This window comes from Homo sapiens, chromosome 1, assembly GCF_000001405.40.
Source record: "Homo sapiens chromosome 1, GRCh38.p14 Primary Assembly".
Lineage (NCBI taxonomy): Eukaryota > Metazoa > Chordata > Mammalia > Primates > Hominidae > Homo > Homo sapiens.
The window spans coordinates 59,839,868-59,856,759 of record NC_000001.11 but is presented as its reverse complement, the minus strand read 5'-3'; the positions used below and the strand labels follow the sequence as shown (position 1 = coordinate 59,856,759).

Sequence of the window (16,892 nt, the reverse complement as noted above, 5' to 3'; positions counted from 1 at the left end):
CCAAAGACTCAAGGCACCTATGGTAATCTCTGACCAATCATGAACTAACCACTGTGGTAACTGAGCAGAGACTTCAGTGGCTACACAACATAAAGAATGTGGGCTTTACAGAATTAGTCCCAAAAAGTCACTTAAAAAAACAAACAGCAACAACAATAAACCCTAAGAATGGAAAAAGTCTGATTTCCAGATTTGAAATTTTATATTATTTTAAATGTCAGATTTTCAACAAAAATACAAAATACACAAACAGAATAGCCTATACACAGGGTGAAAAAAAAAAAAGAAGTCAACAGAAACAGCCAGTGAGAGTGCCAGTGGGTAGACAGACTAGACTAAGACAGAGAGAGCTATTCTAAGTATGTTCAAAGAACTAAAGCAAACCATTTGTAAAGAATTAAAAGAAATTATAGCAATGTCTCACCAAAGAGAGTATAAGAGAATTTATTAAAAAGAAATAACTAGAAATTTTGAGTTGAAAAGAACAATAAATGATATGAAAAATTCACTATAGGGGCTGGTTGTGGTAGCTCATGCCTGGAATCCCAGTACTTTAAGAGCTAAGGTGAAAGGATTGTTTGAGGCAAGGAGTTCAAGACCAACCTGGCCAACATAGTGAGTCCCCATGTCTAAAAAAAAAAAAAAAGCAAAGCAAAACAAACAAACAAACAATTCACTATGGGAGGCTGAGGTGGGCAGATTCCCAGGAGCTTGACCAGCCTGGGCAACATGGCAAACCCTGTCTCTACAAAAAAAAAAAAAAAAAAAAAAAAAATATATATATATATATATAATAATTTATATATATATATATATAAATTAGCTGGGTATGGTGGAGTGTGCTTATAGTCCCAACTACTAGGGAGACTGAGGCAAGAAGACTGCTTGATGCCCAAGGGGTTGAGGCTTCAATGAGCCATGACTGCGCCACTGCACTCCAGCCTGGATGACAGAGCAAGACCATGTCTCAAAAAAAATAAAATAAAATAACTAGATGGGCTCAGTGCAGACTTCAGCAGAGGAGTATCAGAGAGCTGTAGGACTCCCATCAAGTATGCCAATATAACAGGAAACCCAGAAGAAGAGAAAAATTGCTAAAAACTTGCCAAATTTTATGAAAAGTTATAAAATTTCCTTATTCTTTAAAAGTAGCACATGCATGCAAATGTTTACTGCAGAACTATTCATAAGAGCAAAATCATGGAATCAGTCTAAATGCCCATTAATGACAGATTGGATAAAGAAAATGTGGTACATATACACCATGGAATACTATGCAGCCATAAAAAAGAGCAAGATCATGTCTTTTGCAGGAACATGGATGGAGGTGGAGGCTATTATCCTTAGCAAACTAACACAGGAACAGAAAACCAAATACCACGTGTTCTCACAAGTGGAAGCTAAATGATGAGAACTCATGAACACAAAGAAGGGAGCAATAGACACTGGGGTTTACTTGAGAGCAGAGGGTTGGTGGAGAGAGAGGAGCAGAAAAGATAACTACTGGGTACTGGGCTTAATACCTGGTTGAGGAAACAATCTTTACGATGAATCCCCATGGCATGAGTTGACCTATATAACAAAACTTCATATGTATCCCTGAACCTAAAATAAAGTGTTGTTTTTTTGTTTTTGTTTAAAAGAAAAATAAAAGGTTTGCTTTAGTTCTTTGAACATACTTAGAATAGCTCTCTCTGTGTTAGTCTAGTATATCCACCCATTAGGACACCTCACTGGCTGTTTCTGTTGACTGCTTGTTGTCGTCCATTAGGACACCTCACTGGCTGTTTCTGTTGACTGCTTGTTGTCGTTGTTTTACCATGTATAGGCTACCCTGTTTCTTTGTATATCTTGCATTTTTGTTGAAAACCTGACATTTAAATAATATAATATTTCAAATCTGGAAATCAAATTTTTTCCAACCTTGGATCATCAATCTACAGTTCTAAGAAATTCAACAAATTCAAAGTACAATAAACTAAAAAGGATCCACACACCTGGATATATCAAAGTCAAACTGCTGAAAGCCAAGGGCAAAGCGAAAATCTTGAAAGCAGCAAGAGAAAAAGGATTCATCACTTAAAAGGAGCCTTAATAAGATTAACAGCAGATTTCTCATCAAATAATGGAGGCCATAACACAGTAGGATGACATAAAATGCTAAAAGAAAAAGACTGTCAAACAAGAATTTTATATCTAGCAATACATCTTTTGAATATGAAAGATGAACTGAAATTTTTCCAAGAGTAAAAAAAAAACAACAGAGAATGTATCATTAGCAGACTTTCTCTATAGAAAAATACTAAAAGGAGTCCTTCAGGTTGAAATAAAAGGACACTACTGAGAAATTTGAATTTAGCCAAAGAAACACCACCAACAGAGGTAACTATATACACAAATATATTTTAATGGCTGGGCGCGGTGGCTTATGCCTGTAATCCCAGCACTTTGGGAGGTCGAGGCAGGTGGGTCACAAGGTCAGGAGTTTGAGACCAGCCTGACCAACATGGTGAAACCCCGTCTCTATTAAAAGTACAAAAATTAGTCAGGCATGGTGGCATGCGCCTGTAATCCCAGCTACTCAGGAGGCTCACGCAGGAGAGTCGCTTGAACCCAGGAGGCAGAGGTTGTAGTAAGCCAAAATCGTGTCACTGCACTCCAGCCTGGGCAACAGAGGGAGACTCCGTCTCAAAAAAAAAAAAAAAAAAAAAAAAAAAAAAATATATATATATATATATATATATATATATATATATATTTAAGATTAATGTATTTTTAACTCTTTTAGTCTACAATTTGATTTAAAAGACAATAGTATAAAGCATTAATTATAAAACAGTATTAATGAGTTTATAATCTATAAAGATGTAACAGCATAAAGCAGAGGGGAGGAAAAGTTTTTATTTTGGAGTAGTTTTCAGTATACTATTGAAATTAGGTTTACCATTTACTCTAAATGGATTGTTTCAAGGTAAGATGCTAATTGTAATCCCCCATAACAACCATCAGAAAATAGCTTTTAAAAACTTGTAAAAGAAACTAAGGAACTAAACTGGTGTATTGAAAATGTCTAACACAAAAGGCAGTAGTAGAAAAATGGAGGAGAAAAAAAGACATACAGAAAACAAAATAAAATGGTAGACCTAAATGCTATTTTTATCGGTAATTACATTAAATGTAAATGGATTCCAAACTCCAATTGAAAAGCAAATACTGGCAGAATCGATTAAAAATGATCCAAGTAAATGCTAGGTGAAAGAAATAGATCTTAGTATAAAAGACACAAATATAGTTTGAAAATAAAAGGGTGAAAAAAATGATGCAAACAGTAACCAAAAGAAAGATACAGGGCTATACTAACATTAAACAAAACAGACTTTAAGATAAATATTGTAACCAGAAAAAAGACAGACATTAGAAAAATCAATCTATCAGGAAGATATAACAATTACAAACATAAATGAACCTCACAGATCTAAAATACATGAGGTAAAAACTGACGGAATTAAAGGGAAAAAGAGATGATATAACAACAATTGGAAATATCAGTATCCTACTTTCAATAATAGAACTATACACAACGATTCAAGGTAGAATACTTGAACAATATTATAAACCAACTAGACCTAACTGACATATATAGAATACTTTACCCAACAGTAGAATACACATTTTTTAAAAATCCACATGGAACACTCTGCAGAACAGACCATATGCTAGGCCATAATACAGGGCTCAATAAATTTAAAAGGACTGAATGCACACAAAGTATGTCCTCTGACCACAATGGAATTAAATAAATCAATGACACAAGGAGATTTAGGATATTCACAAATATATGAAAACTGAGCAAGATACTCATAAGTAACCAATGTGTCAAAGAAGAAATCATAAGGGAAAATAATTCAAAAGAATTAAACGAAAATGCAATATGCCAAAACACAGGATGTAGCAAAATAAATCCTGAGGTAAATTTACAGCTGTATCTATATTAAAAAAAATCAAGAAAAATTCCAAATCAATAACTTAACTTTCTATCTTAACTAGGAAAAAAAAACTTATATACAAAGGAATTTGTGTTCCTTTACCAATGAATTATTAAAGATTAGAGTAAAAATAAATAAAATAGAGAATAGAAAACAAATTTTAAAACCACAAGTTAGTTATTTGAAAAGATCAACAAAATTGACAAATCTTTAGCTAAACTAACCAAGAAAAAAAAAAAACAGAGAAATTCAAATTACAAAAATCACAAATAAAGGAGAGGATATCACTACTTAGCAAAATTCTCTTGTTTCTCACAGAAATAAAGAAGAAATAACAATAAACAACTGTATGCCCATAAATTAGATAAATTAAATTGACAAATCTCTAGAAAGAAACAAACTAGTAACACTAGCTCAAGAAGTCATAGAATAGCTGAATAGACCTAGAGCAACTAAAAAGATTGAATTAGTAATTTATTAACTTCCTACAAATAAAGCTCAGGCCCAGAAAACTGAACTCCACAAAACATTTAAAGAAGAATTAATACCAATTTTCATGAACTTTCCCAAAACGTAAAAAAGCAGGGAAAATTTCTCAACTCACTCTATGTGGCCAGTGATACCAAAACCAGGTATGACCTCACAAGAACATTACAAACCAATATCCCTTATAATACCGATGGAAAAATCTTCAATGAAATATTTGCAAACTGAATCTGGCAATATACTTTTTAAAGTATATATTATGAACAAGTAGAATTTATCTCAATAATGCAAGATCGGTTTAACATGAAAAAAATCAATGTAATACATCATATTAATATAATAAAGTACAAATACTATATATCATCTCACTGATCCAGAAAAAGCATCTGACAAAATCCGATACTCTTTTAGGATAACAGCATGCAACAAACTACGAATAGAAGGAAAATTCTTCAACCTTGTAGAGGGCATCCAAAAACAAAAACGAAAACAAAGAACTCACAGCTAGTATCATACATAATGGTGAAAAATTCAATGCTTTTCCCCTAAGATCAGAACCTAAAGAATGATATCTGTTCATGCCACTTTTATTTAACATTGTACTGACAATTCTAGCCAGTACAACTTAGCAAGAAAAATAAAAATTATCAGAATTGCAAATAAAGAAGTAAAATCAATTCTATTTGCAGAGGTCATAATCTTACATATAGATAATCCTGAGAAACTTACCAAAAAACTATAACTAGTAAACAAATTCAAAAAGGCTGGAAGATTCATGATCAATGCACAAAACTCCATCAAATTTCTACATATTAGCAGTTAACAAATCCAAAAATGATATTGATAATTTTATTTAAAATAACAACAAAAAGAATGAAACACTTAGGAATACATGTTTAAAAGGTGCTAGTCTTGCACACTGAAAACTACAAAACATTGTTGAAAGACACTTAAGATCTAAATAAATGAAATGATAGCCCACATTCATGGATCAGAAAATTAATACTGTTAAGTGGCAACATTTCTAAATTAATCTATAGATCAAGAAGTTCTTATAAAAATCTCAGCTGCCTTTTTTTTGCAAGAATTGACAAGCTGATTTCAAGATTCACATGAAAATGCTAGGGAATCAGAATAACAAAAACAGCCTTGAAGAAGAATAAAGTTTGAAAACTCACCCTTTCCAATTTCAAAACTTAACTACAAAACTACAGTAATCAATAATCAATATATGAGTGTGGTACTAGCATAAGATTAGACATACAACCCAGTAGTAAACCATTAAAAGACCACAAATAAACCCTTGCATTTATGGTCAAACGAATTTTTAAACCTTTTTAATTATTAATGGAGGTTATTTTCTGAGCAGTTTTAGGTTTTTAGAAAAATTGAGCAGAAAATACAGAGTTCTTTTACATTCCTCTTACCCTCTTCTCACTCTCAGTCTCCCCTATTATTACTATCTTGCATTTGTGTGGTAATTTGTTAGAATTGATGAGCCAATGCTGATACACTGTTATTAACTAAAGTCCATCATTTATATTGCAGTTTACTCTTTTTGTTATACACCCTATGGATTTTCACGAATGTATAATGACATGTATACACCATTAAAGTATCATGGCCAAGTGATTTTTAACAAGAATACCAAATAATTCGATGTAGTAAGAATAGTTTTATCAACTGGTGGTACTAGTACAACTGGATATCAACATACAAAAGAATAAAGCCAGATGCCTACCTCACACCATATACCAAATGGATCACAGACTAAATATATGAGCTAAAACCATAAAACTGTTTAAATGAAAAACACAGGGTAAATCTTTGTACCTTAGGTTACACAGTGGTTTTTTTAGAAACATCACCAAAAAAAGACAAGCAACAAAAGGAAAAACAAGTAACTCTGATCTCATCAAAATGTAATACTTGGTGCTGCAAACTATATCATCAAGAAAGTGAGATGATAACACACAGAATAGAAAAAAAAAACTGCAAATCATATACCTGACAAGGAACTTGTATCTAGAATATATAAAAAACTATTCCAACTCAATAATTAAAAAGCATATAACCTAAGTAAAACATTGGCAAAGGATTTGAAGAGACATTTTTCCAAGGAAGATATACAAATGGCTAATAAGTACATAAAAGATGCTCAACAACATTAGTCAGTAGAGAAATGCTAATCAAAAACACAATGACATGCCAATTTATATCCACTAGGATAGCTAAAATCAAAAAGATAATAGGTGATGATAAGGATGTGAAGTTAAACTTGGTTACCATATGACCCATCAATACCATTTCTGCATATATGCTCAAGAAAAATGAAAACATATCTAAATAAAAATTTGTACATAAACATTCATAGCATTATTCATAACAGCCAAAAAGTAGAAACAACCCAAATGTTCATAAACTGGTGAATGGATAAACAAAATGCCGTATGTCCATACAATGGGGCATTATTCGGCAATAAAAAGGATACAGCACTGATATATGCTACAACACGGATGAACCTTGCAAGAGTCAGTCACAAAAATCACCAAGTGTATGATTACATATTGCAGAAAGACTAGGAAAATCTGTAGATAGCAAGTAGATTAACAGTTATTAAGAGTAGGGCTGAGAGGATTAGAGTGCAGGGTAAACGGTGATGGGCATGAGGTTTCTTTTTAGAGTGATGGCAGTGTTCTAAAGTATGATTATGATGATGGTAGTATAACTCTGTGAATATATTAAAAACCAATGACTTGTGAAAACCACCTTAGGTGAAATTTACGGTAAGTAAATTAAATCTTAATAAAGCCATCGCAAAATTATTATCTATGGTCCTTGATCCCATGCAACTGACAGTCTAGAATTAGAAAATATTCATTGAGACTTATGACCTTGGCTCTACCATTTCATCTAACATTGTGAAGAAAACTAAAAAAATTGAAAGAAGATGTAAGTCATTTTTACAAGACACTTTTATGTCAAAAAATTCAATCTGGAGGAAGAGAGAACTGGTAGACATCACCACGATTATAGAAACAGCAAGGGCATTACAAAACTAAAAGAACAATGAAATATTCCTTATCAATTATATCTATGTTTACCTCTTTTTCCTTAAGTAAAGCTTCATGTTTTTCTTCAAGCCGCTTCATTTCAAACGCTAGTGTGTCTGCCCTCTTGGATTCGGAGGAAAGTTTAACATGAAGATCTTGAACCTAATGTCAGAAACAAAAGGAAAAAAGGTCCTTAAAAGTATATAAGTGTATAAATCTCAATAGTCTTTCAGAATTGAGTAAATGAAAAACTGATTATGAATAAATATCTACACTAAAATTGCAGTCTAATTTTAAATACTTGTGGAAAATAACATATAGATAAGAATTAACATAAAACTAAAAATATTCAAATAATAGTTTTGCCAAAGAAATTAAAAGTCAGCCTACTAATGCTATTTAGTAAACAGAAAAACAGAATTTAGGTTACGGCTCCATTCTCTAAGGCATTAACCCTGCTTACCAGAAATGCTAATAAACAATAAAATCTCAAAAGAAAAAATAATTTCAGGAGGCAGTAAAAAGGTAAAAGACCCAGATAACTCAAACTCAATTATCAATCCTTGAATTAAAATTAAAGAAAGAAATTCATCAGAATAAGTTCATAGCTTATTACATGCAACGCTTCTCAATTTCTTTACCATTCTTAAGACATCAAAAGGAATAACAAAGTTAAACTCTTACAATTTTATCAATTAAAAATTAAGATGTTTCTTACCTGCCTTTTGTATGTTTCTAATTGTGTACGTGCTGCATTTGCTTTTTTTAATTCTTCTTCTAAGCTGACTGTATTATGCATATACATCATGTTGGTTTCCTGTAAAGTTTTCACCTGCTTGCGAAGGTCATTCAGATCTTGTAGCTTCTGACGATATATCTCAACTGTTGACTCCAGTTTATTTGCTTTATCAGAGGTAGCCCTATAATCATAAAGACTAAGCATTACTGTACAAAAACTAGTATATACTCATAATTTTACTCTGGCTATAAAATGAATCTTCCAAACTATCACAAAAAAGAAAAAAGAAAAGTAAATGTGAGTGAGTGAGAAGAGGAAATTGTAAACTTTGTAAGAACTTTGGAAACAGACTCTAGCCTAAATCCATTTAAAGTTCAACCTATTTGGTATAAAGCCATCAAAATAAAAATGCTTCAAATCTGACACACTAATTTATCAAACTGTTTCATATATTAGCACAATGAATAAAAAATAATGATTTGTACATAAAATTAAACAAATCAGCTGCTCTGCAGCTTACAGGCCAACCTTCCTTTGTGTACAACATTCAGCATAGTTTCCTTCCAAGTATTTGACTCAACTGTATTTAGGACGTTGATTAAATTTATAAACTTGTCAGGCAAAGCACTTCCCTTTGGAGTTGTGCTTACCTGACTTAAATATATAAATAAACGAACAAACAAATAAACCAAATCACTTCACTATCGCAAGCAGGTCCAAATTAATGGTTACACAAATTTTGTTTCAAATGAGTATTAAGAACTACAAAAAATAATTAAGAAAAATTAACAAAAAAAATAAAGATCACGTGGACAGACTGTTCACTGAGTAACATTTCACATGAAAAAAGTAAATATAAACTTTATATTGCCAAATGACAATCCTCCCCCAAAAAAAGTTAGGATTCTTGCCTATATTTGATCTATAGTTTATCAAATGTCAAAATATGGATTGACATTTCCTTACACAAAAATTTCCTTACACAAAAATTTCACAAAATATGACAGGTACAGGGAGGTCAAGTTAAATGTATCTATAAGTACTCCATTTATAAAATTTTAATTAAAGGTCTCATTTTGGGTTTATGGGTTCTAATGTGAAAATGTCCTAATAAAAATTGAGTATTATCCATGAACTGCAAGCCCAAACAACAAACATAAAAGAAGTTAAAACTATCAGCCTGGATTAAAAACTGATCAATACTTGATATACAGGAATAATCCTATGAATCCCTGATTAAAATATGAAATACTCAAATTGACTAAATAGCTCAGAAATGGCATAATTATATTTTTTAAGACATGCCATACCTAAGAACATCTATTTCATCTTTCAGGGCTCTTGTTTCTTCTGCAAGACTAGTCAATTCATCATTCCTATGCTGGAATTCGATTAGCTGCTTTTCAAGTTCTTCACAGTGAACACGGTAATCATCTTTTGCAGCTTCAAGCCTTGAACAAATAAAAAAGTAAGTATTTATAACTTCCATGATTTGTTATAATTATATAATTGTAACTTGCATGACTATATATGCAAATGCATATATAACACTCAACACAATAAAATATATGATGAATAAAATATGTATCAATAAATGCCAAAAGACTGAAATATCATGGACCATGTTCTCTAATAATAAAGGTTAATTAAATTAGAAATCAGTCGCAATAAGAAGTCTAGAAAAGCTTTAAATCTTTGTAAATTAAACAACACATTCCTAAATAACCCACAAGTCAAGAAAAAAAATCACAACAGAATTTAGAAAAAGTTTCAAACTAAACAATAACAAAAAGACAAGCAATCAAATTTGGGGGACAACAGTAAACCAGTGCCTCTCAGTTTTAAAGGTCTATGTTAGAAAGAAAGAAAGAATGAGAGAGAGAGAGGGAGGGAGGGAGGGAGGAGGGAGGAAGGAAGGAAGGAAGGAAGGAAGGAAGGAAGGAAGGAAGGAAGGAAGGAAGGAAGGAAAAGGAAGGAAGGAAGAAAGGGAGGGAGGGGAAGGAAGGATTAAAATCAATGATCTAAGTTTCAACTTTAAGAGGCTAGAAAAAGGAGAGAAATTTAAATCCAAAGTTAAGTATAAAGAAAGAAATCTAAAACTAATAATATAGAAGGCCAATAAAGGATGTTTGAAAAGATTAAGAAAACTGATGAACCTCTAGCAAGAGTGATCAAGAAAAATGAAAGAAAACCCAAGCAATATCAGGAATGTAAAAGGGTATATCATCACATCTGCCAGAATCATTATAACGATAAAAAAAGAATATTATGAACAACTTCATGTCGATAAATTAAACAACTTAAATAACCATAGACACTGAGTTTTAAGGATAAGAAGAGAATATTATGAAGAACTTCATGTCAATAAGTTCAACAACTTAAATAAACATATACACTGAAAAATACAACTTACCAAACTGAACACAAGATGAAATAGGAAATCTGAAAAGCCCTATGACCATTAAAGAAATTAAATTTGTCAGGAAAAACACACTCACAAAGAAAACCATAGGTCCAAATTGTGTTACTGATAAACTGTATCAAAATTTAAGAAAGAAATAACATTTTTACATAAACTCTTTCAGAAAACAGAAGAACAGAGAATATGCCTCAGTTATTCTATGAGACTAGTAGAACTCTGATAAATCCTGAACAAGACATTACAAGAGACAAAATTTAGACCAATATCTATTATAAAGACAGTTATAAAAATTCTTTCAAATTATTAACTGAATCTAGTCACATATACAGGATAATAAAGTATGAACAAAGTGGTTTATCTCCAGAATGTAGGTTTTTAACATTCAAAAATCAATCAATATATTACAAGAATGAAAAAGAAAAGCTACACCATCTTTTCAAGATGCAGAAAAATCATCTGACAAAAATCAACAGCTAATCATGATTGAAAAAAAAAACAAAAACAAAAAACTTTTAGCAGGGTGGAAACAAGGGGAATTTCCTCAATCTGACAGAAAGCACATCGAACAACTCTACAGCTAGCATCATACTTGACGGATCCTAATTGCACATGATCCCTCTAAGACCAGGAAAAAAGCAATGACAGCTGCTCTTGCAACAAGGCAAGGAAAATAAATACAAGACAGAAATAATGAAAGGAAGATGTAAAGTTCTATTAATAGATGAAATGACTGTAGATTCCATAGTCTGTGTTCCTCTAAAATTCATGTTGAAACCTAATCCCCATTGTGGTGGTATTAAGAGGTGGGGCCGTTTGGGAAGTGATTAAGTTATGAGGGCTCTGTCCCCTTGAATGGGATTAGTGCTCTTATGAAAGAGGTTAAAGGGACCTAAGGATTCAGCAAGAGGAAGCCATCTTGGAGGCAGAGAGCTATCCCTCAAACAGACACTGAATCTGCTGGTACCTTGATTTTGGAGTTCCCAGTCTTCAGAATTGTGAGTGGTAGATTTGTTCATAAATTACCCTGTCTAAGGTATTTTGTTAAAGCAGCAGGAATGGACTAAGGATTTCTTTTTTAAATCTAAACAAACTACCAGCTCAATAAGTGAATTTAGAAACTTTGCAAGATATAAAAGTTTCAATATATTTAAGATACAAGTTTCAAGGTGTAAGATCAAAGTTTCAATATATAATTGTACATCTATCTACAGATTAGCAGCAAATTTTCACAATAATTCTGAATTTGCATTTACAATAGCATCAAAAACAAAATACTTGGGTAAAAAATTAACAAAAGACATACAAGACTTCTATGCTAGAAACAATACAGCACTGCCGAGTGAAATTAAATATTTAAATAAATGAGACTACATTCATAGATAGGAATTCTCTATATAGTTAAGATATCAATTATACAATCCAAATCATAATCCTGAAAAGGTTTTTAGTAGAAACTGATCAGCTGATTCTCAATTTTATGGGAAAATGCTAAAGACTTAGAATAGCCAAAACAAATTTTGAAAAAGAAAGAACAAAATTGGAATACTTACACTACCAGATCTCAAGAGTCATACTCTAAAACCATAGTAATTAATATAGTGTCATACAGGCACAAATTTACTAACAGAAATGAAATGAGAGTCCAGAAAAAGATCCCAATTTTAATGGTTATATCATTTTTCACAATAATGTGAAAATAACGTGGCTTATAAGAGAATGTCCTCATTCTTAGGAAATATGCACTGAAATATACAGGGGTAAAGAGACATGTGTCCAACTTTCTCTCAAATGGTTCAGATAAAAATATGAAAATTATATGACTATATACAGAGATTGCTAAAGCAAATGGAGAAAACTGTAAAATAATTGTTGAATCTGAGTAAAAGGTGTAAAGAAGTTCCTTGTAGTATTCTTGCAACTTTTTTAGGGAGTTTGAAGTTATATCAAAATTAAGTAACAAAAAAATATGTATAGTACAATTAGAGTGCCTGTCCTCAAGGTCTTATAGTTCATGGCTGAGTGGTATGCACACAAAAGATAATCAATGTTTATTAAAGGTAAGGATACATGACTTTGTTAAAGAAATATACAAGTTAAAATGAAAAGCACCTACTTGGCTTACGATTTACATTTTTTTCCATTTATTACAGGGTTACCTATCTTATTTGAGAAACTCCTTGTTCTCCCCAGGTTTCAGCAATCACTGCCTTGAACTCCTATTGGCTGTCCTATGGCCTTGATTTGGTCCTTAACACATATTTAAATGGTTTTGTTTTTATGTGTATCTCCCACTTCCTAACTGGATGTTAGCCCTGTGATAACAGGAACCACTTATACCATCTGGTATTTTCAGGAGCTTAATCAGTATCCTAAAGATGCTTAACAATGCTTAGTAATTAGCTGTTAATACTGTGACTTTTTGCTACTGGTATAATAGACAGAACTCCATAAAATGATTTCCATTAAAAATGCTACCTGAAGTTTTCTTCCTGTAATTGTTCTAGTTGTAATTGTGCATGAAAATACTTTTTTGCAACCACTGTGTTTGGATCATCAAAAGAGCCATCCAACTGGTCAAGTTTTTCATTCATCATCTCATTTTCAGAAACCAGTGAATTCTTTTCATCTTGAAGTGTAGTCACCTAAGAAACAAATACACATACATAAGCACCAGTAGAAAAAAAACAAAAAAATAAAAATTCTTATTAGAGTCTAGAGTTCTGGATTCTAGATCTGACTAAGCCATTAAATAGCTTGGTCTGTCATACTAGATGAGTTCTAAGGATCCTTCTGAATGCAGAATTCAGAGTCTAGGAGATGTAAGTCAAAGAAAAGAAATCAAATCAATACACATATGGAGAAAATAGAGTAACTATATCTTTAAAATGCTATGCCTGCCTTTGTTTGGGGAAGAAAATGTTTTCAAGTCTCTAAAATTTGATGCACAAATGAAACTTCAAAAAATTAATTTGTCTCCTCTTTTAGGTATAAACTAATTTTTAGAATGATGTCACCTGCTAAGCCAAAATATACACACATATGTTCAAAGTTATCATGATAGGTTGAGAGTATAAAATTATCAGTCACATATCACATATTCAAGAAATAAGCACATTTGGTTAATGATTCAATAACAAAAAGCTAAGCTGTTTCCATTTGTACATTTAAACTATTTGCTTATGATTTAAAACGAATAAAAACATGTTAGTGTAGAACCACATCATTATCAGTACCTGGAGCAATTTTTTTTATTCATATTTTTAAAACATGCATGATTTTCTCTCCTGGTTCTACTTCTTTTCCATTTAAAAACATCTTTAAAAATGTATAGCTAAGGCTGTGTCTTTTGATAAGGCCAGAACTTTTACATATGATTAAGAATTAGTTTGAAAAACCATTGATTAACCTATTCTGATTTCCAGTGTATTACTGAATAAGTTTGCTATCCATATCTTCAAAACATGTAATTCAATCCAGTTATGTAAATATGACTACACATTGACACAAAGAACTAATAGGAAATTAACATCAAGTGATTGCCCTGAACACAGTATATAGGCAAGTTACTGTCTTCTAAATGAGAACTACAAAGTCTGGGAAACTGTCCCTGGGCAGACAATATAATGAAATAACTTTCTATTCCCAAATTCAATGCATGCATCCATGCCTATTATGTAAGCTGTTTAGTGACTACTATTACCTGTCATGCATAATAATTCTAAGTGATTCAGATACAAAAAAGAATAAAGAGTTTCTGCCCCCAAGACCCTTACAGTAGAAATGTAAACAATTATGTAAAAGATGTTGAAGGTGCTTTGATAGAAGTACACTATAGGGTAAGGGTAGGGCACAAAGAAAAGAATATCTCATTCTAGCTTGAGTGTAGGGGCTGTCAAAAAATGACTGACAGAGGAAAAACAACACCCTCAGGCATCAAAACTGGGTAGGACTCCTCTAAAAACGAATAGGACCAAGGGCAAATTTTAGTTTTGAACACCTGGTGAATAACCAATCTTGCTCCTATCCATATGCTTCAATGTGGCTCCAGAGCCATCTCTGGCACAGACATGAGTAAGAAGGGTGCGAGACAGGCACATTCCTTGTTCCCACCCCAGAACCGTGACTTGGAACACTGGGTGGTGGTTCCAGGCATCTCCTTCAACAAGCTCTCATGGTGATAAGTTCAATCTGCACCTGTCTCTGTCTCCCTCTGTTTGGGATTTCTGCACTTTTCACCTAAAACCAGATCATATATCCTTTATTATTTGTTACAAACACATAAATCTTTAAATGCAGAATTTTGTGTTCTTTATTGAATAAGAATTTCTCAGAAGACTGTACCTAGATCCTACAAGAGAATGGTAATACCTGAATGGCTCAATCTTCTGTTTTTCCTACAAGGTATTTTACAGGGTGAATATGATCCCATTTAAAATGAACACATTTCAGGTACTTTGCATGTGTCTGAAGGTATATGTTACAATATGTAGTTAGGAAAGGTGCGAAGGAGAACAGATTAAATTTCCCTTACTTGAGACACTTACTTCATTCAAATACAGAGGACTGGTTTTTACAGATGAAGTTAGAAGACCTGAATTCTAGTGCTCCCACTGCCCTAAGTGACTAGTCACCCTAACCAAGTCTTTTCCTTTTCTTTATTTCCAAATGCTTAAGGGTTAGAAGCATTATCTAGCCCTGTCATTTTAGATATTTACTTCCTCTAGCAAGGATAATGCTACCACACCTTTGCTCCTTGCCCTTACACTTTTCAGAGAATCAACTACAAATTTAGCTCATTATTCAAACAAAAAAATGCCATTTACATACAGCATATTATGAAGGTACACTTAACCTTCTGTACACCTTTTTCTAGACTAATTGCATAATATGCACATTTGTATTTTAATGTAACAGTAACATCATATGCAAACAATAAACACAGCACTTCTGTGCCAGGCTCTAAGTGCTATATATATGAACTCATTTAACCCTCACGACCACTCTGGGAGATATATGCTATCATCACTCCATTTCTCAAAAGAGAAAACTGAAGTACAGGATAATTAAGTAATGTGCCTGGAGCATATAACCAGCTAGTAATATGCCAGGTTCTGAATGTAGGTAGCCTGGTTTGACAATCTAACCTCTTAACCATTAACTATTGTTGCTCATGCCAAGTTCATTTTAACATACATGTGCATATGAATACAAGATTATATACACACGTTTATATATACATACATGTTAGCAAAAATTTGCCATAAGAGACTACATACATAAATATGAACATGTACTTGAATTTACTGGGGGGGAAGTGTCAGGTACCACTTAATACTTCCATAAATTACCTCTACTTAATATTCACATACACAATATGAAGTAGAAACTTTAACTTTCCCATTTTACAAAAATGAAAACTGAGTTCTTATCTAAATAATTGAAATTTTAAAATTAGTAGAGTGATTTTCTCAAAGAAAGTTAAGCCAGCAAATTTCAACTATCAGAGAAAAATATTTATGAAATTAATACTTGAATATTCAAGCCTATAAGAAATCCTTTTAATGTTACCTCCATGAAGTCAAACCTAATCTACAAAACATAGTGCTAACTAATTAATTACAATAAAAATCTTCTGTAAACTTAAAGAGGAAGTTTTTCTCAGCTCAGGGTTTTTTCCCGTACCTGCATATCCAATTCTTCACATCTTTGCCTCAGCTCTTCTTTTTCTGCTAGTGCTTCCTGAAGTTCTTCCAAGGCTCTTTTAAGCTGAAATACAAAATGTCCTAAATCTTAGTAAATCGTGTTTTGACACAAATATAGAAAAATAGAAAAATATACTCTTCTCACAACACACATATACACTGATATGGGAAATTATTTTTTGAATTTACCTAATAAGAAATGACTCTTACAACAAAAAAAAGAGAATTTTAGGCCAATATCCCTGATGAACATCGATGTGAAAATCCTCAATAAAATACTGGCAAACCGAATCCAGCAGCACTCAAAAAGCTTATCCACCACGATCAAGTTGGTTTCATCCCTGGGATGCAAGGCTGGTTCAACATACACAAATCAATAAATGTAATCCATCACATAAACAGAACCAATGACAAAAACCACATGATTATCTCAATAGATGCAGCAAAGTCCTTCAACAAAATTCAACAGCCTTTCATGCTAAAAACTCTCAAAAAACTAGGTAT

The 16,892-nt window shown here is 32.3% G+C and overlaps 1 protein-coding gene across 7 annotated transcripts in view; it reads right to left on the bottom strand.

The window, feature by feature from the left end:
• The window catches only part of HOOK1 (hook microtubule tethering protein 1), a 61,374-nt gene that overhangs the window by 19,563 nt on the left and 24,919 nt on the right, over nt 1-16,892 (bottom strand). For 6 of the 7 annotated variants that reach the window (NM_015888.6, XM_047422232.1, XM_047422230.1 and 3 more), the window contains exons 8-12: nt 16,369-16,452; nt 13,162-13,328; nt 9,575-9,715; nt 8,244-8,445; nt 7,577-7,687 (exon numbers count right to left, since the gene is read on the bottom strand). In NM_015888.6, the coding sequence (NP_056972.1) occupies nt 7,577-7,687; nt 8,244-8,445; nt 9,575-9,715; nt 13,162-13,328; nt 16,369-16,452 (705 nt within the window). Of the gene's footprint in view, nt 1-829; nt 2,047-7,576; nt 7,688-8,243; nt 8,446-9,574; nt 9,716-13,161; nt 13,329-16,368; nt 16,453-16,892 lie in introns of those variants that run through there. The other variant, XM_017001424.2, reaches the window with a different exon arrangement.